Raw genomic sequence first — 27,047 nt, 5'->3', positions numbered from 1 at the left:
GTCACACCAAGAACCAAGAAAAATCATAACTTGAATGAGAGAAGACAATCAACCAATGCAAACACCTAGATGAATCAGATGTTGAAATTATCTGACAAGAATTTTAAAACAACCATCGTAAAAATGCTTCAACAATCAATTGTAAATTCTCTTAAAACAAATGTAAAAATAGAAGATCAAAGCAAGGAAATAAAAGTTATAAAAATAACCAGATGAAAATTATGTAACTAAGAAATGCAATAACAAAAGACAAGCTAGATAGGCTCAATAGTAGAGTGAAGATGACACAGGATACAGTCAATGAGCTTATGGACAGAACAACAGAATTCACCCAATCCAAACAACACAGAAAAAAATAGAAAAAATTAAGAAAGCCTCACGGACCTGTGGGACAACAACAAAAGATCCAACATTTGTATCATCAGAGTGCAAGGAGAAGAGAAAGAGAGCCAGACTGAAAGATAATTCAAAGAAATATGGTCCAGCCTGCTGTAGAGCTACAGAAATCAAGACAGTGTACTATTAGTAGAAGACAGAAAATAGATCAATGAAACAGAACAGAGAATCCAGGAATAACCAACACAAATATGTTTAACTGATTTTTGACAAAGGGCTAACAGTAATTCAATAGAAGAAGAATAGCCTTTTCAACAAACAGTACAGGGGCAATTAGGCATCTATTGGCAGAAAAGAAAAAAGAAACTTGACTGGCAACTGTTACAAAATTTAACTCAGTCCTTGCACAGTGGCTCATACCTGTAATCCCAGCACTCTGAGAGGCCAAAGCAGGCATATTGCTTGAGCCCAGGAGTTCAAGATCAGCCTAGGCAACAAAGCGCGACCCCATCTCTACCAAAAAAATAAAAAGAAAACAAAAATTTAACTCAAAAGGATTATGGACTTACATGTAAACATAAAGCTGCTAACATTTAGAGAAAAAAAATACAGGAGGAAATCTTTCAGATCTAAAGCTAGGCAGAGTCCTTAGATTTGATACCAAAACCACAATCCAAAAAAGAAAAAATGAATAAAATGGACCTCATCAAAAGTAAAATATTTTGCTCATGTGAACAAGATAAAACAAGTTGCAACTTCTGGCTTCTACTGGGCATGTAAGAAACGTGGTCTATGCAGGAGGTTGAAGGGGGAGGATCATTTAAGGCCATGAGTTTGAGTCCAGCTTGGGCAACATAGCAAAATTTCATCTCTTAAAAAAAAAAAAAATACTTGGAAGTCACTAGGCCATCCTACCAACAAGAAAAGCTAAACAAACTGAAAAATCTACAACTCTTCTAGGATCAGTAAGAGAAATGAAGTCACACGGCAAACCACTGCCCCACAAACTGGAGGAACAGGTGACTGCAAAGAATCCCATCAAACTGAAGCAGAAAACTCTGCAGGAACCAGTGCAGGGTAGGAAAAACTGAACTGTAATTGACAAACTGCTGAAGGCTCAGTGCCAACAAGTGGGAAACTTAAAAAGCCAGGGGGACTCAGTCATAAGACAGCCTTCATACTTTTATTAGTTTCACCTCCAGTAAATCAATATGGTTCTCACAGTATGTATGACAGGGTGGGGGAAAAAAAAAAAACCCTATTACTTCTGACAGAGGGAGGGAAAACAAAATCATTTTTAAATAAGCTAGAACATTCTGTTCTTAATAAGGTCTTTCCTTCAGGAGAAACTATTTAGTCAGAGCCTGCTGGGGTTCTATCAGAGTCTAACTAACTTATAGGAAGGGAAATAGGAAATACCAATTGCAGCCCATACTAGCCATGCTGTCTTACCTTGGGAGACGGGGATAGTGCTAACAAACATCTGTGAAGGTCACACCCAGAGACACAGAGACTCATTAAAAGACTGAGATATAATCATTGGACTGTAGAATGCTTCCTATCCCCCAACACCTTACTGCCACATTACTAAAGACCTATACAGCAGCTCCTTTTACCCAAGACATCAGCTTCAGCTATCAAGAAAAATTTATATGTCACACTAAAAGGCAAAAAACACAGGCTGGGCTGGGCACGGTGGCTCACGCCTGTAATCCCAGCACTTTGGGAGGCCGAGGCAGGTGGATCACCTGAGGTCAGGAGTTCAAGACCAGCCTGGCCAACATGGTGAAATGCCATCTCTACTAAAAACACAAAAATTAGCCAGGTGTGGTAAGCAGGCGCCTGTAATCCTAGCTACTTGGGAGGCTGAGGCAGGATAATCGCTTGAACCCAGGAAGCAGAGGTTGCAGTATGCCAAGATCATACCACTGCACTCCAGCCTGGGTGACAGAGTGAGACTCCATCTCAAACAAACAAACAAAAAAACACAGTCTGAAGAAAGAGAGCTAGTATAAGAACCAGACTCAGACATGGCAAAGGATGTGAGAATCATCAGCTCAATTACTAAAAACAACTATGATTAATATGCTAAGGGTTCTAATGGATAAAATAGACTGCATATAAGAACAGATGGGCAATGTAAGCAGAGAAATGAAAATTCTAAGACAGAACCAAAAAGAAACACCAGAGATCAAAAACACTGTAACAGAAATGAAGAATGCCTATGTTGGGTTCAATTAAGTTGATAGGCTCAGTCTAGTAGACTGGACACAGCTGAGGAAAGAATATCTAAGGGATATCCCAATAGATACCTAAAAAAAAAAACTACAAAGCAAACAGAAAATAGACTGAAAAAATACAGAGCAGAATATACAAAAACTGTGGGACAACTAAAAAAGGTGTAACATACATGTAATGGGAATACCAAAAGAAGAATGAGAGAAAGGAACAGAAAAAATATTTGAAACAATAATAAATGACAATTTCACCAAATCAATGTCAGCACTAAACCACCAATCCAAAAAGCTCAGAAAACTCCAAGCAGGATAATGATTAAAAAACAAACAACCAACAACAACAAAAAACTACACCTAGGCTTATCACAATTCAAACTACAGAAAATAAAAGATAAAGAAAAAATCCTGAAAGAAGACAGTGGAAAAAAGACATTACCTATCAAAGAGCAAAGAGAATAATTACATTGACATTACCTCCAAAACCATATAAGCAAGAAGGGAGTGAAGTGAATTATTTAAAATCTTAAGATAAAAAGTAAAAAATTAAAAAAAAAAAACCCACTAACCTAGAATTATGTACCTTGAAAAATTATCCTTCAAAAGTGAAAGAGAAATAGTTTCTCAAACATAAATATTGAGGGAATTTGTTGCCAGTAGATCCAACTTGCAAGAAATGTCCAAAAGAAAAGTTCTTCAGGGGGAAGAAAAATGATAGAGGTCAGAAATTGAGATCTATATAAAGAAAAGTACTGGAGATGAATAAGTGAAGGTAAGATTTAAAGAACATTTGTTTTTCTTACTCTCAATTGATCTAACACATAAGCATCTGTTCAAAATAGCAGCAACAATATATTTGATTATGTATGCTTATGTGTTTTTCTCACTCTCAGTCGATCTAACACATAAGCATTTGTTCAAAATAGCAGCAACAATATATTCGATTATGTATGCTTATGTGTGTGTATACAGATATATGCTTATGTATGTTTATCTATAAGTGTAATAAATAACAGCAATGGTACAAAGGATGGAGGTGGTAATTAGTATTTTATTATTTTGATCCTACTAAAATCCGGAACAAGGCAAGGTTGTCCCGTCACCTCTCCTTCTCAACATCTTACTGGAAGTCCTAGCTAATGCAGTGAGATAAGAAGGAGATTTTTAAAGTGTACTGATCGGAAAAAATAAAATAAAACTGTGTTTGTTCACAGATGACAAGATTGACTGTGTAGAAAATCTGAAAGAATTGACCCAACGAACTCCTTGAACTAATATGCAATTACAGCAATGGCAGGCTTCAAGGCTAATACACAAAAGTCAATTGCTTTCCTACATACCAGCAATGAACAAGTACAATTTGAAAGTAAAAACACAACAACATTTATATTGGTAGCCTCCAAAATGACATACTTACATATAAATCTAACAAAATATGTTCAAGATGAATATGAGAAAAACTTACACACTTTTGATTAAAGAAATCAAAGAACTAAATAAATGAAGAGATATTCCATGTTCATGGACAAGAAGAGTCAATATTGTCAAAATGTCAATTCTTCCCAATTTCATTTATAGATTCAATTTAATCCCAATCAAAATCTTATCAAGTTATTTTGTGTAGATCAGTAAATAGATGCTGGCAAAAGACCCAGAATAGCCAACACAGCATTAAAGGAAAAGAATAAAGTTGGAAGACTGATACTGCCCAGTTTCAAGACTTACAATAAAGTTACAGTAATCAAGACAAGTGTGGCATGAGCAAAAGAACAGACAAATAGACCGATAGAACAGAATAGAGAGTATACAAATAGATCAACAAAAATACAGTCAACTGATCTTTGACAAAGAAAGCAATACAACCAAGAAAAGATAGTCTTTTCACTATATGGTGCTAGAACAATTGGACATCCACTTGCAAAAAAAAAAAAGAGCCTAGACACAGATCTTACACACTTCACAAAAATTAACTCAAAATCAATCATAGGCCAAAATGTAAAATGCAAAAGTAAAACTCCTAGAGGACAACATAGGAGAAAATTTAGATTCCCTTGAGTTTGAATATGACTTTTGAGATTTAACACCAAAGGCACAATCCATGAAAGAAAGAATAAGCTGAACTTCATTAAAATTATATTTTCTGCTCTTTGAAACACACTGTCAAGAGAATGAAAAGATAAACCACAAACTGGGAAAATATATTTATAACAGATATTTCTGAAAAAGGACCGTTATCCAAAATGTACAAAGAATAATAAGAAAACAACCCAATTTAAAAATGGGCCACAGACCTTAACAGACAACTCACCAAATAATATACACGGACAGAAAATAAGCATATGAAAAGATGCTCCACATCACATGATTTCTAGGAAATGCACATTAAAACAACATTGAGACACCACCTCACATTTATCAGAACAGCCAAAATCCAGGACGCTGTTTACACTAAATGCTGGTGAGGATGTGGAACAACAGGAACTTTCATTTATTGCTGGTAAGAATGCAAAATGGTATGGCCACTTTGGAAGACAGTTTGGCAGTTTCTTACAAAACTAAACATACTCTTACCATACAAAATGCAATCATATTAACTATGATTAAATTAAATGCCCCGTAAGTCCTTGGTATGGAAAGAGTTGAAATTTTATATCCACACAAAAACCTGAACATTGAACATCAATGTTTACAGCAGATTTATTCATAATTGCCAAAACTTGGAAGCAACCAAGATGTCTTTCAGTAGGTGAATAGATGAACTGTGGTAAATACAAACAATGGAATATTATTCAGCACTAAAAAGAACTGAACTATCAAGCCATGAAAAGACATGGAGAAATTTAAATGCACCTTACTAAATGAAAGAAGTCTATCAGAAAAGGCTATATATGACACAATTATACCTATATGACATTCTGAAAAAAGCAATACTATGAAGACAGTTGATATGATTTGGTTCTGTGTCCCCACCCAAATCTCATCTTGTAGCTCCCATAATTCCCACATGTTGTGGGAGGGACCCTGTGGGAGATGACTGAATCATGGGGGTGGGTCTTTCCCTTGCTATTCTCTTGATCGTGAATGGGTCTCACGAGATCTGATGGTTTTAAAAATGGGAGTTTCTCTACAGAAGCTCTCTCTTTGCCTGCTGCCATCCACGTAAGATGTGACTTGCTCCTCCTTGCCTTCCACCATGATTGTGAGGCCTCCCCAGTCATGTGGAACTGTAAGTCCAATAAACCTCTTTCTTTTGTAAAATTCCCAGTCTCAGGTATGTCTTTATCAGCAGTGTGAAAATGGACTCATACAACAGTAAAAAGATCAGTGGTTGCCAGGGTTTAGAGGGAAGAGAGGAATGAATAGTTGGAGTACAGAGGATTTTTAGGACAGTGAAACTACCCTCTATGATGCTATAATGGTGCATACATGTCACTGTATATTTTTCCAAACCCATAATATGTACAATGCCAAGAGTGAACCCTAATGTAAACTACAGTCTTTGGGGGATAATGACATATCAGTGTAGGTTCATCAATTGTAAACAAATATACCACTCTGGTGAGAAATATTGATAACAGAGGATATGTAGTGGGTGGAAGTATGTGGGAAATCTCTGTACCTTTCTCCAAATTTTGCTGTTAACTTAAAACTGCTCTAAAAAAATTCTATTACATAAAAATAAAAATAAGAATAAGACCAGCTACAGATTGGGAGCAAATATCTGCAAGCCATATCTGCAAGCCATATATCTGACAAAGTACAATTTATAACTATAAAGATCTTTCCAAATTCACCAGTTAAAAAACAACAACAATAATCCCAGGCTGGTCTCCAACTTCTGGCCTCAAGCAATCCTCCCACCCTGGCCTCCCAACGTGCTGGGATTACAGGCATAGGCCAATATGCCTGGCATGACGAGGTTAAAAAAATGAGATTTTTAAACAATAGTTTCTATGATTTCCTGCATAGTAAGTATAAATCAGGCAGAAACAGAATATTACACAAAAGTGTATGCATGTTATTAGCAACAGTATCTACTTTTAAAAAGTATATTTTTAAAAAGCAAAACTAGTAAAAATCCTACAAAGTATTGACCATTTAGATTTATTTAAATCTATCTTGTTTAATGTTATTTAATTTGGTATTTAGGATTAAGTGAGTGCTTACATGTTGAGTTTTCAATTCACCATAAATACTGATTTAAAACTTTTTTAAAAAACCATTAAAATTGCTGTTTTCTAAAATCAGAAGTTTAATTTACATAAAATAAATCTATAAATACACAGTTTTTAAACAGAAATGGAAGTTATTAAAAAGCAAAATGTAAAACAGATAACTAGTTTCCTTGGAAGGATAATCGGATTCCCACAGTATTTCTTGTGAATATAAGGGTATATGCAAGTATCTGTATAAAATGTCTCCTGTTTTTCAACTTTTGCCTCCACAACTGGCAATTTTTACATTCTCCAAGTACAAAGATGGAAATATTGTTTTTACCTAACATGAAATTTAATTAGTTTTAAATATTTGCTTTTTTGTAATTAGTAATAAATTGCCTAAATTGTAGGGGCAATTTATTTTTTAACAGGATTATGTTTTATGGTTGAAAATATTCATTTATTTATTTTAACATTGATATAGAGATTCAACTATACTACTGAAAGTACACTAATTTATAAAAATCAGAAATACGTGAATAAAAACTATGTAACAGAAATAAGAAATCCTTCATTCTTCCCCCAACATATATTCTTATTAACTAGAAGGAAATTCAATACAGCTTGAATTTATAATCCTTGACTAATAAAAACCTATCAAAATTAGTTTATGGTTCAAGTTATATTATCAGAATATGTTTGTATAAAGACTATAAAATAAAGTACAAGATGAATTATCATAAGGTATTTCCTACCTTTTACATGCTTCAATACTGACAGTTAGAAGTCACAAATAGAGTGACTGTGTTTGAATAAAATATTAAGCTGCCACAGCAAGATAGAAACAAAGTCACAAAAAGCCACTAAGCATGCAAGTACAAACCAAAAAACTAACCTCACATGAATACAAAGCGAGGTCTTTTTTCAGAAGCACTTAAACGCAGAAATGAACAGTCACCAAAGCTTAGCTACCAAAATAATATCATTCATTACCAATTAACATATGCTGACCTTCACTACCTATGGACATAATATTTAAAACTCCTCCTATGCTTTCTTAATTTGAAAGTGTTGGTTCTAACTCAATTTAATATAAAAGTTACATGCAAGTGAAACAGCACCTGACTGGCCAGCCTATTGGAGCAACATTAACGCATGATGATCTCCCACTGAGAGAAAACAATTAATAAAAACTTTGAAAGTCTATAAACAAATGAATAACATGTTTGCTTTTAAATCAACTATTATATTTTTATTTTTAAACTACATTTGAAGTACTGATATTTAAAATTATTTAAGGAGAGCAGAATTATTAACAAAAATGTTTTCTTTAAGGTATTGATATAAATCAACAGGCATTTATTAGGGAATCATGTGACAGATAATCGTAAGGGATACAAAGATGAATAAAATCTAGATTACTGCCTTCAAACAATTTACAGTGTAGTAAAAATAACTAGACAAGTTCACAGGTAATGAGGATACAATTAATTCATTCAAAATTCATTCATGGTACTAGTACCAAAACAGATATATAGACAAATGGAACAGAACAGGGACCTCAGAAATAACACCACACATCTACAACCAACTGATCCTTGACAAACCTGACAAAAACAAGCAATGGGGAAAGGATCTCCTAGTCAATAAATGGTGCTGAGAAAACTGGCTAGCCATATGCAGAAAACTGAAACTGGACCACTTCCTTACACCCTACAAAAAAATTAACTCAGATGGATTAAAGATTTAAATTTAAAACCCAAAACCATAAAAATTCTAGAAGAAAACCTAGACAAAATCATTCAGGACATAGGCATGAGCAAAGACTTCATGATGAAAATGCCAAAAACAATTGCAACAAAAGCCAAAATTGACACATGGGATCTAATTAAACTAAAGAGCTTCTGCACAGTGAAAGAAACTATCATCAGAGTGAACAGGCAACCTACAGAATGGGAGAAAATTTTTGCAATCTACCCATGTGACAAAAGTCTAATATCCAAAATTTTCAAGGAACTAAAACAAATTTACAAGAAAAAAAAAACCCTTCTAAAAGTGGGCAAAGGATATGAACAGACACATCTCAAAAAAAGACATTTATGTAGCCAACAAACATGAAAAAAAGCTCCACTGATCGTTAAAGAAATGCAAATCAAAAGCACAATGAGATAACCTCTCATGCCAATCACAATGGTGATTATTAAAAAGTCAAGAAAAAATAGATGCTGGAGAGGCTGTGGAGAAATACGAATGCTTTTACACTGTTGATGGGAATGTAAATTAGTTCAACCATTGTGGAAGACAGTATGGCAATTCCTCAAGGATCTAGAACCAGAAATACAACTTGACCCAGCAATCCCATTACTGGGTCTATATCCAAAGGAACATAAATCATTCTACTATAAAGACACACACACACGTATGTTTATTGCAGCAGCACTATTTAAAATAGCAGAGACAGAACCAACCCAAATGCCCATCAATGATAGACTGGATAAAGAAAATGTGGTACATACACACCATGGAATACTATGCAGCCATAAAAAGGAATGAGCTCATATCTTTTACAGGGACATGGATGAAGCTGCAAGCCATCATCCCCAGCAAACTAACACAGGAACAGAAAACCAAACATCCCACGTTCTCACTCATAAGTGGGAGGTGAACAATCAGAACACATGGACACAGGGAGGGGAACAACACATACCAGGGCCTGTTGGGGGGTGAGGAGGTGAGGGGAGGGAACTTACAGGATGGGTCAATAGGTGCGGCAAACCACCATGGCACACATATACCTATGTAATAAACCTGAACATTCTGCACATGTATACCAGAACTTAAAGTAAAATAAACAAACAAACAAAAACCACAATGAGATACCATCTCACACCAGTCAGAATGGTTATTATTAAAAAGTCAAAAACCAACAGATGTTGGTGAGGTTGTGGAGAAAAATGAATGCATTTACACTGTTGGTGGTAGTGTAAATTAGTTCAACCATTGTGGAAGACAGTGTGGCGATTCCTCAAAGACCTAGAGACAGAAATATCATTTGACCCAGCAATCCCATTACTGGGTATATACCCAGTGAAATACAGATCATTCTATTATAAAGATACATGCATGCATATGTTCACTGCCACACTATTCACAACAGCAAAGACACGGAATTAACCTAAATGGCCATCAATGATAGAATGGATTAAAAAAAAGTGTACATATATACCATGGAATACTATGCAGCCATAAAAAGGAATGAGATTATGTCCTTTGAAAGGACATGGATGGAATTGGAAGCCATAATTCTCAGCAAAGTAACGTAGGAACAGAAAACCAAATACCACATGTTCTTACTCCTAAGTGGGAGCTGAACAATGAGAACACATGGACACAGGGAGGGGAACAATACCCACTGGGGCCTGTGGGACAGCAGGGGTGTGGGGAAAGGGAGAGCATCAGGAAGAATAGCTAATGGATGATGGGCTTAATACCTAGGTGATGGGATGATCTGTGCAGCGAACCACCATGGCACATGTTTACCTATATAATAAACCTGCACATCCTGCACATGTAACCCTGAGCTTAAAATAATAAAAAATTAATAAATAAAAGTAAATATCCTACTTAAAAGTTATCCCTACCTCTTCCTAAAAAAGCTACACTCGTTCCAAATTTCATACCCTTCTCAAAGAAAACCTACCAAATCTATGAAACGCAAAAGCACGGAAAGAAGGTAAAAGAGAACACTCGCTGAGTGACAGTTCTACACAAGTACCAGAGAGAGAGGGTATTTAATTAAATCTTTTCTGATTGTGCTTAGCTCTGAGTGTCTCTATGTACTTGCTTACACATCATTTGCATTTTAATCTACTTCTGACTTGAAAGTATGCATTTCTGAAAGACTAGACTGCTACTGCTTTATAATGTCCAAAGCTACTATTAATAGATACATATTCCTAGATAGAATTCCTGGTTAGAAGGTGAGTATAGGCAATGGAGGGTGGAGGAGGAACGCCTTGAATTTCAATTGCTGACTAGTGCCAGCAGATCAAGTCCAACATACATCTCCCAGTTTTCTTATCTTTAACTTAATGCAACCAAATGTAAAAACCACAGCCAATGTCATGTATATTTAAAGTTGAAATTATGTTTTGAGGAAAAAAAAGCTTGGAAATGACAATGTTATCTCCAGCTATCTCAGGGAATTTAAACAAAGAGGCAAACTGCAAATAAATTTTGGTTGAATAGTATTCTAAGAAACCAGGCAATTCCCAGAAGAGATGTTAAGTACATACAAATCTTATCTCTTAAAAGAAAATACAGATCATGAAAAAAAAAGCAAGCAGCTGTTTGAAAATAAAAAAGAATAAAGAGGCATAAGAAGCAAATGCAATACATGAAACCTGCTTGAATCCTATAACAACAACAACAAAATATATACATATATATGTGTATATATATATACATACATATATATATGGCATAACAGGGGAGATCTGAATACGAACCACTGCATTAAACACTACTATGGTTTGAATATATGTGTCCCTCCAAAATTCAACTTAACCCCCCAAGGTGACAGTATTAAGAGTAGGGGCCCTCAGGAGGTGACTAGGCCATGAATGATCTGCACTCATAGACAGAATTAATGCCCTATAAAAGAGGCTGCAGAGAGCTGCATTCCCCCTTCGCAGTTCCATCCCTCCTGTCATATGAGGTCACCAAAAAGGCACAAACTATGAAGAACAAGCCTTCTCCAGACACTAAACCTGCTGGTGTCTTGATGTTGGACTTCCTAGACTCCCTAACCATGCAAAATAAATTTCTGTTGTTTATAAATTACTCAGTCTCAGGTATTTTGTCATAGCAGCCAAAATGAACAAAAAGACAAATACATTCTTAATGTTATGGTTATTTTCTTATATATGATATTGGTACTGTGATTATGTAGGAAATTACCCATGTTCTCAGGATCTGCATGCTAAAAGTTTTAAGTTATCATGATGTCTTTAATATTGTTTCAAATGATTTTTTAACATATTTTTTACATATATAAATATGTGAACAAAGAAAATGTGGCAAAATGTTAACAGTGAGTCCAGGTAAAAGGTAATATAGGTGTTCATTGTCCTATATACTCAATTTTGATGTGGCACTGAACATTTTCAATAAATGTTGAAAAGAGAGAAATACAGAAAGCATGAGAGGAGACCAGTTTGAAGCATGATGAGTGAAAGCAGCACTAGCCTCAACAATTATGAAAGCCAGCTACATGATCTTGGGCAGGTCACAGAACCTCTCTAGGTCCCAGCTAAAGGAGAAGGAAGTGGAATAATCTCCAAGGCATTTTTCAGTTATAAAATCCTACTACTACTAAAATTCTACTACTACCTCTCAGCTCTAAAACTCAAAAGATAACCATATGCAAAGTGGAAAAAATAGAACTGTTTAAGGATAAAAATAAAATAGTTAAAACAGATAACCAAATGCCTTTTATAGACAGCACACACACTAACTTTTTTGAGAAAACATCTTAAAAATTCTTCAGAGGGGCCGGGCATGGTGGCTCAAGTCTGTAATCCCAGCACTTTGGGAGGCCGAGGCAGGTGGATCACAAGGGCAGGAGTTCAAGACCAGCTTGGCCAACATGGTGAAACCCTGTCTCTACTAAAAATACAAAAATTAGCTGGGCATGGTGGCGGGCATCTGTAATCCCAGCTACTCGGGAGGATGAGACAGAACACTGCTTGAACCCGGGAGGCAGAGGTTGCAGTGAGCCGAGATCACACCACTGCACTCCAGCCTGGGTGACAGAGTGAGACTCCATCTCAAAAAAAAAAATTTTTTTTCAGAGAAAAAAATGAAAGGTAGGACTACTGATGAATTTAGAAGAAACGAATAATACACAGATTTATTTTAAGGTTTATTCCATTTCACTTTGCACCTGAAATATCAATCCTAAGAAGCTGAATATAAATATCCTCTGATGAAGCTGTAAAACCAAAAAGATAATAAATGAACCTCCTAGGAATTTAGACAAGCTAGATGCTTTCAAGTGAGGTTAGTATGACATACATCTAAGGGTGAGATGCTTGAAAATCTCCAAATAGGCCAGGCACTGTAGTTCACAGATGTAGTCCCAACACTTTGGGAGACTGAGGTGGGAGGATGGCTTGAGCTCAGGAGAACAGCCTGCACAACATAACAAAACTCTGTCTCCGTCTCCAGGCTGCAATGAGCTGTGATTGTGCAACTGCACTCCAGCCTGGGCAATACAGCGAGACTCTGTCCCATAAAGAAAGAAAAAAGGAAATCTTTGAAATAAATAACAATAAAATTACATATTAGAACTTTGAATTAACAGTCTGGGAAGATTTCGGACTGGCCAAAAATCTTAAAAGAATTATCTCTTTTAAAAGAGCACAAGGGATAGTAGACTTAAAACTCAGTATAAAAGTATAGACCAATTATTTTTACTTCCAGAAAGACTCTGAAGTCAGATAAAATTCAACTCATAATTAATTAAAAATTATACAAGGCCAGGCGCAGTGGCTCATGCCTGTAACCCCGGCACTTTGGGACACCAAGGTGGGAGGATCACCTGAGGCCGGGAGTTCGAGACCAGCCTGACCAACATGGAGAAACCTCATCTCTACTAAAAATACGAAATTAGCCGGGCATGGTGGCACATGCCTGTAATCCCAGCTACTTGGGAGGCTGAGGCAGGAGAATCGCTTGAACTCAAGAGGTGGAGGTTGTGGTGAATCGAGATTGTGCCATTGCACTCCAACCTGAGCAACAAGAGTGAAGCTCCGTCTCAAAAAAAAATCATCATCATCATCATCATCATCAGTGGAAAAAAAGCAAAATAAAGTATTAACTAGTATATATTACAAATTTGCCAGATGCTTTATTTCCAGCACTAATATTATTTCTAGCACTATAGCTAAGTGCCTTTTGCTAAAATAAGCAATCCATCAGTTAACAAGAAAGATAGTTTTCTAAAAGGTTTCTGTACATGATACCAGCTTCTAATCAGCTGCTCAAAAACCAAAATTCTTGAAGTCATCCTTGAGTATGTTCTCTCTCTCTCTTTCCATGCCCAAACAACATACAAGTCCTATGAGTTCTGTCTAAAAAAAACACAAAAATGCATCTCAAATTCATCCATCTCTCCCTTATTGCTACAACCATCATGCAGGCCATCACTATCTCACCTCAGCTCCTAAAAGCCAGCTTTCACTTTCCTTTCAACCAGTCCATGTCTCACACAGCAGTTAAAATGATATAAAATGCAAACCTCGGGCCAAACCCTTCAAAGCCCTAAATATTTCTATAATCTCTTCCTACTCAAATCTGCCTCTTTCTCTGTGTCAACCACACTGGTATTTTTTGGTCCCTCAAATTCACCAAGCTCCTTCCTCATTCAGGGTTTCTGCACACCATATTCCTTCTAATGAGAATGCTCTTCCAATCAAAAACTACTCCCTTCCCCTGCCCCAACACTCACTCTTTAAATAGCTCCTTCTCATATAATAGGTCTCATCTTAAATTACAGCCCCTCAGAGGAGCCTTATATGACCCTATCTAAAGTAGATTCCACCTCCTCAACTCCAAATTATCTGTTCTTTTGCTTTCCTTAAAAAATTGTATTATAAGGCCAGGCACAGTAGCTCACGCCTGTAATCCCAGCACTTTAGGAGGCTGAGGCAGAAAGATCATCTGAGGTCAGGAGTTTGAGAAGAGCCTGGCCAATGTGGCAAAACCCCATCTCTTCTAAAAAAATACAAAAATTAGCCAGGAGTGGTGGTGAGCTCCTGTAATCCCAGCTACTTGGGAGGCTGAGGCAGGAGAATCGCTTGAACCCAGGAGGCGGAGGTTGCAATGAGCCAAGATTGTGCCACTGCACTCCAGCCTGGGCGACAGAGCCAGACCCTGTCTCAAAAAAAAAAAAAATTGTATTATAATTCATAATTGTTTTGTCAATTTATTTTTAACCTATCCCCTCCCCCAGAATATAAGGATAGAAATAAGGATGGAACATCCAGTGTATTCATCATTACATCCTCAGAGGCAGCACACTGTATGACACTTAGAAGAATATCAATGTACCTCAAATGAATTAATGAATCAATGAATATATGATTATATTAGACAATGAGATTAATAATGCTATTAATGGAAATACAGAAATCAGAACAAAGTGCAAGTATTTGAGAAGAAAAATATGATATGTTCAGTTTGGTGCCAAATGGTTGAAAATATAGGACTGGTGGGCACACAGATTGAGGAAGAGATACAGATTGGGATTCTGCTAATTATAAGTGTTAGTTGAGAAAAATAATTATGTCACAAATGAGGTAAAATCATTGGGATAGATGACAAGCAAAAAATAAATAAACACAAATATAAAACAGTAACAGCCTACATAGACAGTAGAATAATCTAACATAAAGAATACTACAAAATCAAGACAAGTCACAATTTCAGAGACCCAAAATAAAAAACGGTTTAGTAACTTACTAAGAAGAATAAAGTAATCCTACCTTACTACTGTTCATTGCTGGTCATGCCTTAGCTAAAGTAGCGTGTCCATGATGAGGTGTCACACATTAGGGACAAAGAAGATACTTGAGAAAACGTGCAGTGAAGTCTAGCGAAAATGGTCATAGGTCTAGCCAAAAAACATGAGCTGCAAGAAGAAATTCAAGGAGTCAGAACTGTTCACTACAGAGAAAGAGATAAAAATGTACACTTTCAGTATACTTGGCTATTCCTGGAAATTAACTGTGACAGCTTATGACAATTGCTACGTTAAAAATAAGAATGCTACACTTACCTAACTTATCTATCCATTGCTTACTCCCTCCCCTATCTTTCTCTAACTTTCCGAAACAGTAATGTATTGTTACCTTCTCCTCCAACCTATTCCCTCAGTTTTCAAGAGGTAATTCATGTTTTTCTCCACGTTTACATCATAAAACTAACTTCAAGTTTGAAACACACCAGGCACAGTGGCTCACACCTGTAATCCCAACACTGTGGAAGGCCAAAGTAGGAGGATGGCCTGAGTACAGGAGTTCGAGGCCAGCCTGGGCAACACAGTGAAACCTAGTCTCTATAAGTTTAAAAATTAGTCAGGCATCGTGGCACACACCTGTAGTCTCAGCTATTTGGGAAGATGAGGTAGGAAGACTGCTTGAGCCCAGGAGGTTGAGGCTGCAGTGAGCCATGATCATGCCACTGCACCTCAGCTCGGATGACAGAGCAAGACTGTCTCAAAAACCGAAAAAGTCTGAAAGGCCATCAGAAGAAGCCAGTGATTATGCTTGTTAAAATATTATTACAGCCTAAAGTAGTAATTAAGTACATAAGAAAAACTTTTTCAAAGGCTGGGGAAGGTTTGGGAAGGATTCCCCCAGCAAACACATACTTTCTCCACTTCATATGTTTTATTTATTTATTTGCTTGTTTGTTTGTTTGAGATGGAGTCTCACTCTGTCACCCAAGCTGGAGTGCTCTGGCATGATCTCGACTCACTCAGCCTCCACCTCCTGGGTTCAAGTGATTCTCATGCCTCAGGCTCCTGAGTATCTGGGATTACAGGCATGCACCACCACGCCCAGCTGATTCTTGCATTTTTAGTACAGACAGGGTTTCACCATGTTGGTCAGGCTGGTCTCGAATTCCTGACCTCAGGTGATCCACCACCCATCTCGGCCTCCCAAAATGCTGGGATTACAGGCATGGGTCACTGCGCCTGGCCTCTGCCTCATAGGCTTCAGTATGCCAAAGTATGATCCTTGAATTGGCTGTTCTCCCTTCAGTCCTTGAAAACTGTGAACTCTTCTGAGAGGTTTTCTTGGTCACTCTCTCCTTTATCACTGAGGTCAATATATGTAGTTTACAGCCCTGTTACAACGTCTCACTTTTTGCCTGTGCCATACTATTTTTAATCCCAACTTCCTGGTTTATCATAAACTCTCCCCTTCTTCCAAGTTCTTCTTTTTTGTTTGCCTACTCTGTCTCCCATCATTTCCTCTACTGCCTTGACTTTCACATCAATCAGATGACATTCCATAAATGTTACCAACAAGATTATTCCTCTCCTTCTGGTCAGCAAACAGATCAAACACAGTATGTCAGGCATATTCTCCAAGTCTACTTTTCTAATCTTTTAACCATTTCCAAAGGGTGCCTTCGCCCTTAGGAAAACATTTTATTCCCTTCTAGATATAGCAAAGCTCCTAAAGCTAGAATTGGTTGGAAATCTAATCTATATGTAATTAAAGTGTTAATACATTTCTCTTCTTCCATAAAACTGTGACATAAATGAGACAAGAATTTCTATCTTAACACAGTCAGCCACTTGCATAGTACCTGGAACACAGTAGCCATCAAACAAGTGACTACCAAATGAATGAAATTCCAAAATGAATTATGGTTTCCTCTGATTTGTACACTTTGGTGTAAAGTAAGGCATCAACAAGAGTTGTTATATAAAACGATAAAATTCATGACAAAATTATTTTTAAATATAAAATTTTAATGATGGCCAGATGAGGTGGCTCATGCCAGTAATGTCAGCACTTTGGGAGGCCAAGGCAGGAGGATCACTTGAGTCCAGGAGTTCCAAACCCTCCTGGACAACATAGTGAGAGCCCGTCTCTACAAAAAAATTATATAAATTAGCCAGGCATGGTGGCATGTACCTGTAGTCCCTGCTACTTGAGAGGCTAAGGTGGGAGGATCACCTGAGCCCAGGAATTTGAGGTTGCAGTGAACAATGATTGTGCCACTGCACTCCAGCCTAGGCAATAAAGTGAGACCCTGCTTCAAAAAAAAAAAAAAATTCAGTCATGACTTCACTTTTGACTGCTTTCAACACATCATCTTTAATTAAATCCCCAGGGTATAGTTCAGTAAACAGTATTACTCATACAGCTTTCTGAGGAACAAAACACATTATATATGTATCCAATTCCACTCCAAAGACAAACCCAAAAATTACTAGATCATCCAATTAATATGAAAAATGTTTAAACTCTCTTCTCTATCAGCAAAGATAGTTGCATTATTTAGAATTCCCTGTTCTAGTCTCTCACTTTGCTATGGAAATGGTTATTTCCACAGACCTAAGTTCAAGAAAGACAACTATTCAACTGAGATTCCATGCCCAATATTGAGCAGTGTCAAGTATCTTGCTCAGGAAAGCTAGCCCACTGTAGTCCTAGCTACTCAAGAGGCTGAGGCAGAAGGATCACTTGAGCCTAGGAGGTCAAGCCTGCAATGAGCTGTGATCACATCACTGTACTCAAGCATGGGTAAGAGAGCAATACCCTGTCAAAAAAAAAGAAAAGAGAAAAGAAAGTAAGCTAGTCACAGGACCCATGTATTGTGTCTCAATCTCTAACTCAGTCTTTTCTATAATTTTTATTTTCCAATGAAACAAAAAGCATTTTTCTTTGATATTGAAAAGATTTGGGTTAAAAGTAACAACTTTTTTTGGTGGCATCTCTAAATGGAACTTTTTAAAATTCAAACTACTATAAACCTATGAATCAAAAAAATTATATTCCTTGCGTTACTTCAAAGGTATTATCATGCTTACCAGACTCAGCAAACGTTTCCATACATAACAGTTGAAAATGCATAATGACTGCTTTCTAATGCACCTTAATCTTCCCCAAGAACTTCCTCAATTACACATACTTTCATCTCTAACGCACATTCATAGCCAAAAAATAGTTCCTATTCCCTGAAATATGCTTGTCTTCACAAATGGGACTAGGGTGATGCAAAAGAAATACCTGGGGCGCAAAATTTAAGGAGATACTCTCAGGATCATGCAAGTGCCACCCTGCAGCTGCATGACCCTAAAAGTGATTATGTCTCATATTTTGTGTCCTAGGCAACTCTCTTGCCTTACCCTAGTCCTGGCTCTACTTCTCTTTCCCATCTCTACTCTCCCCACTTCTCTAATAAATATCCCCTTAGTTTTTCAAAATCCAATTCTGATAAACTAAATATTTATTTTAAACAAAGAATTTAAGTATAATTTTACAACCATTTAAAATTATGTTTCCACGGCCAGGTGCAGTGGCTCATGCCTGTAATCCCAGCACTTTGGGAGGTCAAGGTGGGTGGATCACCTGAGGTCAGGAGTTCAAGATCAGCCTGACCAACATGGAGAAACCCCATCTCTACTAAAAATACAAAATCAGCCGGGCATGGTGGCGCATGCCTGTAATCCCAGCTACTTGGGAGGCTGAGGCAGGAGAATCGCTTGAACACGGGAGGTAGAGGTTGCAGTGAGCCAAGATGGCGTCACTGCACTGCAGTCTGGGCAACAAGAGTGAAACTTCGTCTCAAAAATAAATAAATAAATAATAAAATTAAATTTAAAAAATAAAATAAAATTGTTTTCAAAGAAAATTTCTTGTTCATGATATGTGGTAGGTAAAAAATAAATGAAGTAGTTATATCTATATACAGTAAGATTATATTTTTTTAAATGATTGTGAGTTGCATGTGCATGTAAGTAATAGACCTGTGTTGTTTTTTACTCTGAAGCATCTATCTCCCCTTCTGTTGGTAGCAGCATCTTAATTTTCTTTTCCCAAACTATCCTTCTCTTATCATCAATCCACACGGTTTGGGTGGCATTGATCACCAGCACTCTAATGTTTCTGGGGTAGGAACATAACCTGGGTCTGGGAAATCAGCATATTCCTTCTCGCAAGCAGTAGTTTAGGAATAGGTATGTTACCCAAATTGAACAGATAATACTGAATCCCAACATTTTTGCAGAAGCTAATCAGGAAGGAAAGTCATCTTTCAGCCAAGGTTGCTAAACTGAAAGATGATGATAAGTACCTACTAGACAATCAAGCAACCCAAACAAAGAACCAAGAGAAGAGAAACGGAGAAATGTCTGAAAATATTTTGCCCCTATATATGAGTTCAGATGTAAATAGATATAGCTGCTGGAATTCAGAATTACTGCTGGGAAACAATTCACTCTGCATTTCTCATGTTCCTGCACAGAATCTTCTGACCAAAATGTACTACAAATGGATATTTGCATAACAGACAGCCTTGGAAGCTAGAGACAGTATCTCCCTAAAGATAGAAAACTCCAAAGAGCTTTGGAGAAATTAAGCCTTCTCCTTCCCCTCCCTGGAAACATTTACTTATATTCTAGGGTAAGAAACCTAAAGATACCTTCTCCCTCTCCTCTGGAAGCGATGTGTTTAATAAGTAATCTCTCTCTCGCTCTGCAGGGGAGGATGGCAGATGTGCCAACACCCTATACAAGCTTGGAGTCTCCTCATTTCAAGGCTCCTCTCCTATGATGCAAATCTGCTGCATGTGTAGGTAAACACCTGGCCCTCATCACATTGTTTTGTCACAGAGATGGGGCAGGGAGAACTAGCACTAAGATATTTCTCTGGCCACTGCTTTTACTGCAATAAACCCTCTGAGTCTCTGACCCAGGGCTCTTCTATTAATGTATGTATATAAAAGTATGGCAAGGTAACTTGCTTGTTTGCAAACAGGGTATTCTAAGTCCCTTCAGAGTTTCAGAGTTAATGGTTACGTGAGGCAACGACACATTTTTTTTTTCTTATTTATTAATTCGTTCAACAAATATTTGCTGAAAGCCTACTATGCTATCTGTGTGCCATGAGTTTTCCTATACAACAGGTAAAAATTCTTGCCTTCCTGGAGATTATATTCTAGAAAGAGGAAACAAACAAAATACAAAATAAGTAAGTAAAATACACAGTGTTAGGTAGTAATAAGCACTATTTTTAAAAGCAGAAAAAGGTAAGTATGAAGTAGGTAGGAGATTTCAAATTTATGTTGAGTGATTAAAGACTTTACAGATAAAGTGACATTTACCAAAGACCTGAAGGAGATAAGGAAGTTAGTCACATGGTTAGCTAAAGGAACCGCTATCTGGAAGAAGGGCATTCTAAGCAGAGAACAGAAAGTACAAAATGTCTATCTAAGGAAAAACAAGGAGGCCTGTGTGCAGTGAATGGTGGAGAAAATAGTAAAAAAATCCCGCATGAGGGAGGGAGAACAGAACCACAAAACCGTGGCCCATTTTAAACTACAGTTCAGAGAAGAACTAGTTCAGAGAAAGATCCTGCATGAAGGAAGGAAAGCAGGACCATGAAACTATAGCTCATTTTAAGGACTTGAGCTTTTATGTGGGAAACCCCTGAAAGATTCTGAGCAAGAAAAGACATGATCTCTTACGTCTAAAAAGGATAACACAGGCTATTTATTTAGAGCAACAGTAGTAGTGGGGAGACTTTTTAGGAATCATGCAGAAGGAGAAAAAGGATGTTGCCGAACCAGGATGATAGAAGTAGGGGTGGTGAGAGCAAGTCAGATTATAGGTATTTCTTTGAAGAAAACAGAGTATGCTGAAAGACTAAGTTGAAGAACTAAAGGAAAAGAATCAAGGATAACTTTGCTCACACTGGGGTCAGGGCAAAAACAAAGATGGAGCTGCCATTTACAAAGATGGGAAGGACTAAATTGTTAAATAGGTGTCTGCCACTGGCATCCAAAACTAGCCTAACAAACATAAAAAATTATACCACAAGGCAGGCAGATTGCCTGACGTAAGGAGTTCAAGACCAGCCTGACCAACATGGTAAAACCCTGTCTGCATTAAAAATACAAAAAAAAATTAGCCAGGTGTGGAGGCACACACCTATAGTCCCAGCTACTTGGGAGGCTGAGGCAGGAGAATCGCTTGAACCCAGGAGGCCAAGGTTGCAGTGAGCTGAGATCATGCCACTGCACTCCAGCCTGGGTGGCAAAGTGAGACTCCATCTTAAAAAAATAATAATAATAATAATTATACTAGAAATAAGGTAATACAAGTTACACTTCTAAAATGTGGGACTGAGTCAATAACAGAAAGTGAAGGAAACTTGGTAATCCTCTACTTTAGGGTAAGAAGTCAGCAATTCTTAATAAGCAAAATAGCTGGTAAATTGCTGTTCTCATAAATCAGACAAGTATATCTTGTTTTATTGCACTTCGACTTTCTGCACTTCACAAATATTCCCTTTTTTACAAATTGAAGGTCTATTATAATCCTGCACTGAGCAACTCTATTGGCACCATTTTTCCAAAGCATATACACATTTCACGCCTCTGTGTTACATTTGGTGATTCTTACAATATTTCAAACTTTTTCATTATTATCTTTTATGGTCATCTGTGATCAGTGATCTTTGATATTACTATCTTAATTGTTTTGGGGCACCAAGAACCACACTCATATATAACGGTGAACTTAACTGATAAGTGTTATGTGTGTTTTGACTGCTCTACTGACCAGCCATTCTCTACTCCCTCTCCTTCTTCTTGGACTTCCCTGTTCCATGAGACACAACAATTTGATATTAGGCCAATTAATAATCCTTCAAAGGCCTCTAAGTGTTCAAATAAAAGGAATAGTTGCACATCCCTCATTTTAAATTAAAAGCTAAATTAAGCTTAGTGAGGAAGGCATGTTGAAAGCCAAAATAGGCCAGGTGCAGTGGCTCACACCTGTAATCCCAGCACTTTGGGAGGCCGAGGTGGGGGGACCACGAGGCCAGGGGTTCGAGACCAGCCTGACAAACATGGTGAAACCCCATCTCTACTGAAAATACAAAAATTAGCTGGCGTGGTGGCGGGCACCTGTAATCCCAGCTACTCAGGAGGCTGAGGCAGGAGAATTGCTTGAACCCAGGAGGCGGAAGTTGCAGTGAGCAGAGATCGTGCCACTGCACTCCAGCCTGGGCAACAGAGCGAGACTCCATCTCAAAAAAAAAAAGAAAAGAAAAGAAAGCCAAAATAAGCTGAACCTCTTGAACCAAACACCCACATTGTAAAAGCAAAGGAAAAGTTATTGAAGAAAATTAAAAGTGCTCCTCCAGTGAACACGCAAATGACAAGAAAGCAAAACAGCCTTATTGCTGATATAAAGAAAGTTTCAGTAGTCTAGATAGATCAAACCAGCCACAAAATTTCCTCAAGCCAAGGCCTAACCCAGAACAAGGCCTTAACTCTCTTCAATTCTATGAAGTCTGGGTGAGGTGAGGAAGCTTCAGAAGACAACTCTGAAACTAGCAGAGATTGATTCATGAGGCTGAAGGAAAGAGGCTATCTCAACATAAAAGTGCAAGGTGAAGCAGCAAGTGGTGATGTACAAGTTGCAGCAAGTTATCCAAAACTCTAGCCAAGATCACTGATGAATTTGGCTACACTAAACAACAGATTTTCAGTGTATATGAAACAGCCTTATATAGAAAGAAAATGTCATCTGGGACTTTCATAGCTACAGAAGAAAAGTTAATGCGTGACTTCAAAGCTTCAAAGGACAGACTGACTCTTGTTATGGGCTAATGCAGCTGGTGACTTTAAGTTGAACCCAATGCTCATTGCCCATTCTAAATATTGCAGAGTCCATAAGAATGATACTAAATCTACTCTGCTTGTGCTATAGGAATGAAAACACAAAGGCTGTATGACAGCACATCTGTTTACAGCATGGTTTACTGAATATTTTAAGCCCATTGTTCAGACCTACTGCTCAGAAAAAAAAAAAAAAAACAGAAGACTGCTTTCAAAATATTATTGATCATCAACAATGCACCTGGTCACCCAAAAACTCTGATGGAGATGTACTAGAGTAATGTTGTTTTTGTGACTGCTAACGCAACATCCATTCTGCCATATTGGCTAAGCAAAAATCTTATTCCACTGCCAGGGCAAAAAATCCTTGTCATATCTATCCAGTGAAATATACCTGTATTATGGATGAGATATCTCTGTGGGCTGTTTCCCCTTTTTCCCTCTTCCAGTTGCTATAGTTTGAATGTGTGCTCTCCATAATTCATGTATTGAAAACTTCCCCAGGGTCATTGTATTGGAAGGTGTGGACTTTTGGAAGGTGTTTAGGTCTCAAACCTAAACCTAAACCATGATGGTGGAGTCCTCATGAATGGATTAATGCTGGTACAAAAAGAGCTTGCAGGAATGTGTTCTCTTCTCTTCTGCCATGTGAGGACACACAGTTCATCCCTCTCTTGCCCTTCGGCTTTCTGCCATGTGAGGACACAGCAAGAAGGCCCTCATGAGATGTCTACACCTTGACTTTGAAATTTCCAGCCTCTAGAACTGTGAGAGAATAAATTTCTATTATTTTTAAATTACTCAGTCTGTGGTATTCTGTTATAGAAGCACAAAATGGACTAAGACAGAAACTGGTACCAGAGAAGTGGCATGTTGCTATAACAAATACCTAAAAATGTGGAAGCAGCTCTGGAATTGGGTAATGGGTAGAAGCTATAACAGTTCTGAAGATGAATGCTAGAAAAAGCCTGTGTTGCCATGAACAGAATATTGGTAGACATATGAACAGTAAAGGCTATTCTGATGAGGTCTCAGACAGAAATGAGAACAAAGTATTGGAAACTGGGGGAAAGGCCATCCTTGTTATAAAGTGATTAAGCACTTGCCTGAATTATGTCCATGTCCAGGACTTTACAGCAGGCAGAACTTAAGAGTGATGAAGTAGGATATCAATTAAGGGTTTTTGTTGTCCACATGCTATTTTCCTTCTATCACTGAAAACTGGCCTTACTACAATTAATTATACTGGTCAACTGCAAGTTGCTAGACCCTAAGACAGTCTGTTCAAACAGAGCTAAAGAAATTATCCAGAGATCCTAGTCTTAAAGCTAGATGCAGTACTTAAACAAATCTCTTAGTTGTCTTCTTTTCTTGAGGGACAGGTGGTAAATGCATCGAAAGTTATAAGCAAGAAATTTACACAATGATAGGTGAGGGCATTTTTTTCAAGGGCATATATACAAAGGAGGAAATGTATGCACGCTAGAGGACTATAGTAAATGCGTTTTGCTCACCCAGCATCTACTCCCTCCTTCCAGGGTCACAGTATCTTCTCCTTCCTCGAGTGATTCTAACCATTGTGAATCTCAGGCCAAAGGGCTTAGACATAGCTGACCACACTTCCTATTCCTAGTTCCAGTAATTAGCACCTAATCCAGATATGGCCTATCATCATATATCATCCCTGTGACGATGGGATCAGGGATGGGGAAATGATTGGAATCCTTCAACGAGACACAATCCTGGAACTTTTGCTAGAACTAAGGAAAACAGAAGTCTTTATGTTTGGCTTCCTGAACCCAACTGAAAGAAATGTCACAGAGCTCCATATGGAGAAGGCCTACATGAGGGTCTATCTGTACCTAAAGAGAATATACTTCTAGTTTCAGTGCCCTAAGTATGAGCAGAGTTTTGGTCTCATGCAACTGAAGAATCGTGAAAATTCTAGTATTATCACCCTTAGTTTGAACTTGAAAAATCCCAAAGTTATAAGAATTAAATTATTTGTCTAAATTCATACAGCTATTACTAGGAGCACAGATTCAACTCTAGGTAGGTTTGCTCTTTTCCCCACACCACACTCCCTCTCAGGAAAACAGTCCGAAACCTCTCTATGCTTTATAATATCTGTACCCATAAGCTAAATCCTCACATGGGGTGTGTATTCTAGTAACATCTGTAGAAAGACCGAAAATGGAAGAATCACATCCCTTCCTGCTTTCTGTCCCATTCCTGCAACAGCTTGCCTCTTGTCTAGCATAGAACATTTCTACATTATTTTTATAATGTAGATTGAAGGCCATGTCTATCTCTTCACCATCTTCATCCTCTTTCAAAATCCATGATATTAGTGTATATAATAGCAAGTATCTCCAAGCTAAGACATTTAGATCTTAGAATGCCAGTTCCAGACACAGGGTAAACCAGGCTCCAAAATACAGAAAAGAAATCAGAAACTTAAAACAGGCAACCACCAAGGTAAGGTCTAGCTCCTATATTTGTTATGATTAATTGTGAAATAGTCACCATAGCAAACCCCTATTATCCCAGAAGTTAGGACACTGTTGTTTATGTTAACATTTTAAGATATTTGTCAGAACTATATTAACTTCTAGAAAGTAGTAGCTGTTAATAAACAAATTCCTTTCAAATATTATTGTTGAGGGTGCGACAGAAGGGATGGAGGACAGGATTTATGAACGTAAGATTCCTGACATTTTCAAGAAGTCTGTCTAAAGACCATGAGAATTTTTGACAGAGCTGGAACACTCAATGAAAATGTTTCACAAATTAACTTTTTTTTACCTCTAAGGCATGGAGGATTGATGTGCGTCAAGATCAAAGACTCACTGAATTCAACATTCCATTGTTAAATTTATTCAAAAATGTCTGTTTTCTAGCTAAGATCCACCACCTTCTCAGGCCTCTTTATTCTCTCTCCACTTCTAGCAGCTGGCTTTCTTTTTCAGGAAATTTTTTTACAAAGAAACATGTTATAACTTCACAGAAGTTATAGTTTAGGACAATCTCAAACAGAACAAAGCCAAAGCAAGATATAGACACAAGACTGTTAGCCAGGAGCATGAATATCTTAGGGTCTTGCTTCTAATGAGAGGAAGTAATCTCAGCAAAACTGCAAATATTTCAACATAGACCTTTAGAGTTGCTCCCAAATAGCTGAAACTTCTATTAAATCCAGGACCATTAATAGTTTACTACAGACTTTTACCATTTACATTTATTTCAGGTTTAGAGTATGAAACACCCAAGTTCAAATCCCAGTATCATTTTATAACTGGGTCTCCTTGGATAAATGATATGACCTAAAATTGGTTCCAGATCACAAAAAGAACATGCAAGCCATCAAATTCATAAATTCAAAAGAAATGTACAAAAGTGCATCACACTTTTAGCAGGCACTAAAGAAATGTTAGTGCCCCCACCATTATATCTGAAGCCATGTAATTTACTAAAAGACTTAAGACTTATATTGACAGAAACTGTCTCTACCTGGGAGGTTAAAATGTTGAGGAGGGGAGAAAAAAGAACTATACAAAAACAAAACAAAAAATGTGTGTGTGTGTAGGAGAAAGAAATTGGCTTCTTCCTTTGTAAAATTTTCTATTGTATATAAATCTACATAAAGATTCTCATACATCATCCCCAACATAAATGCTTGTAAATAATTGAAATACTGATCTATCATTAATTATATAGTATATTAATAAGTTATATTGACCTATAATTAATTACATATTACCATTATATGTTATCATTAATAATTATCTGAAACAACTACATTGTTTAGTTCCCCTTAATTACTCTCCTATAGCAAATTTATTAAATATATTAAAAGTAAACAGGCATCACAAAGTAATGGTACTTAGCCAAA

General features: G+C 37.3%; 1 protein-coding gene across 21 annotated transcripts in view; it reads right to left on the bottom strand.

The window, feature by feature from the left end:
* Window positions 1–27,047, bottom strand: part of FER (FER tyrosine kinase) — a 448,945-nt gene that overhangs the window by 413,330 nt on the left and 8,568 nt on the right. For 2 of the 21 annotated variants that reach the window (NM_005246.4, NM_001308028.2), the window contains exon 2: window positions 15,274–15,419. The exons of 16 other annotated variants lie outside the window; for them this stretch is intronic. The gene's annotated coding sequence lies outside the window, so the exon portion shown is untranslated. Of the gene's footprint in view, window positions 1–756; window positions 850–15,273; window positions 15,420–27,047 lie in introns of those variants that run through there. 3 more of the 21 variants (XM_047416935.1, XM_047416937.1, NM_001308038.2) reach the window with 2 other exon arrangements.

This window comes from Homo sapiens, chromosome 5 (genome assembly GCF_000001405.40).
Source record: "Homo sapiens chromosome 5, GRCh38.p14 Primary Assembly".
Lineage (NCBI taxonomy): Eukaryota > Metazoa > Chordata > Mammalia > Primates > Hominidae > Homo > Homo sapiens.
The sequence above is the reverse complement of the archived record's forward strand: the minus strand, read 5'-3'. Positions and strand labels throughout refer to the sequence as shown.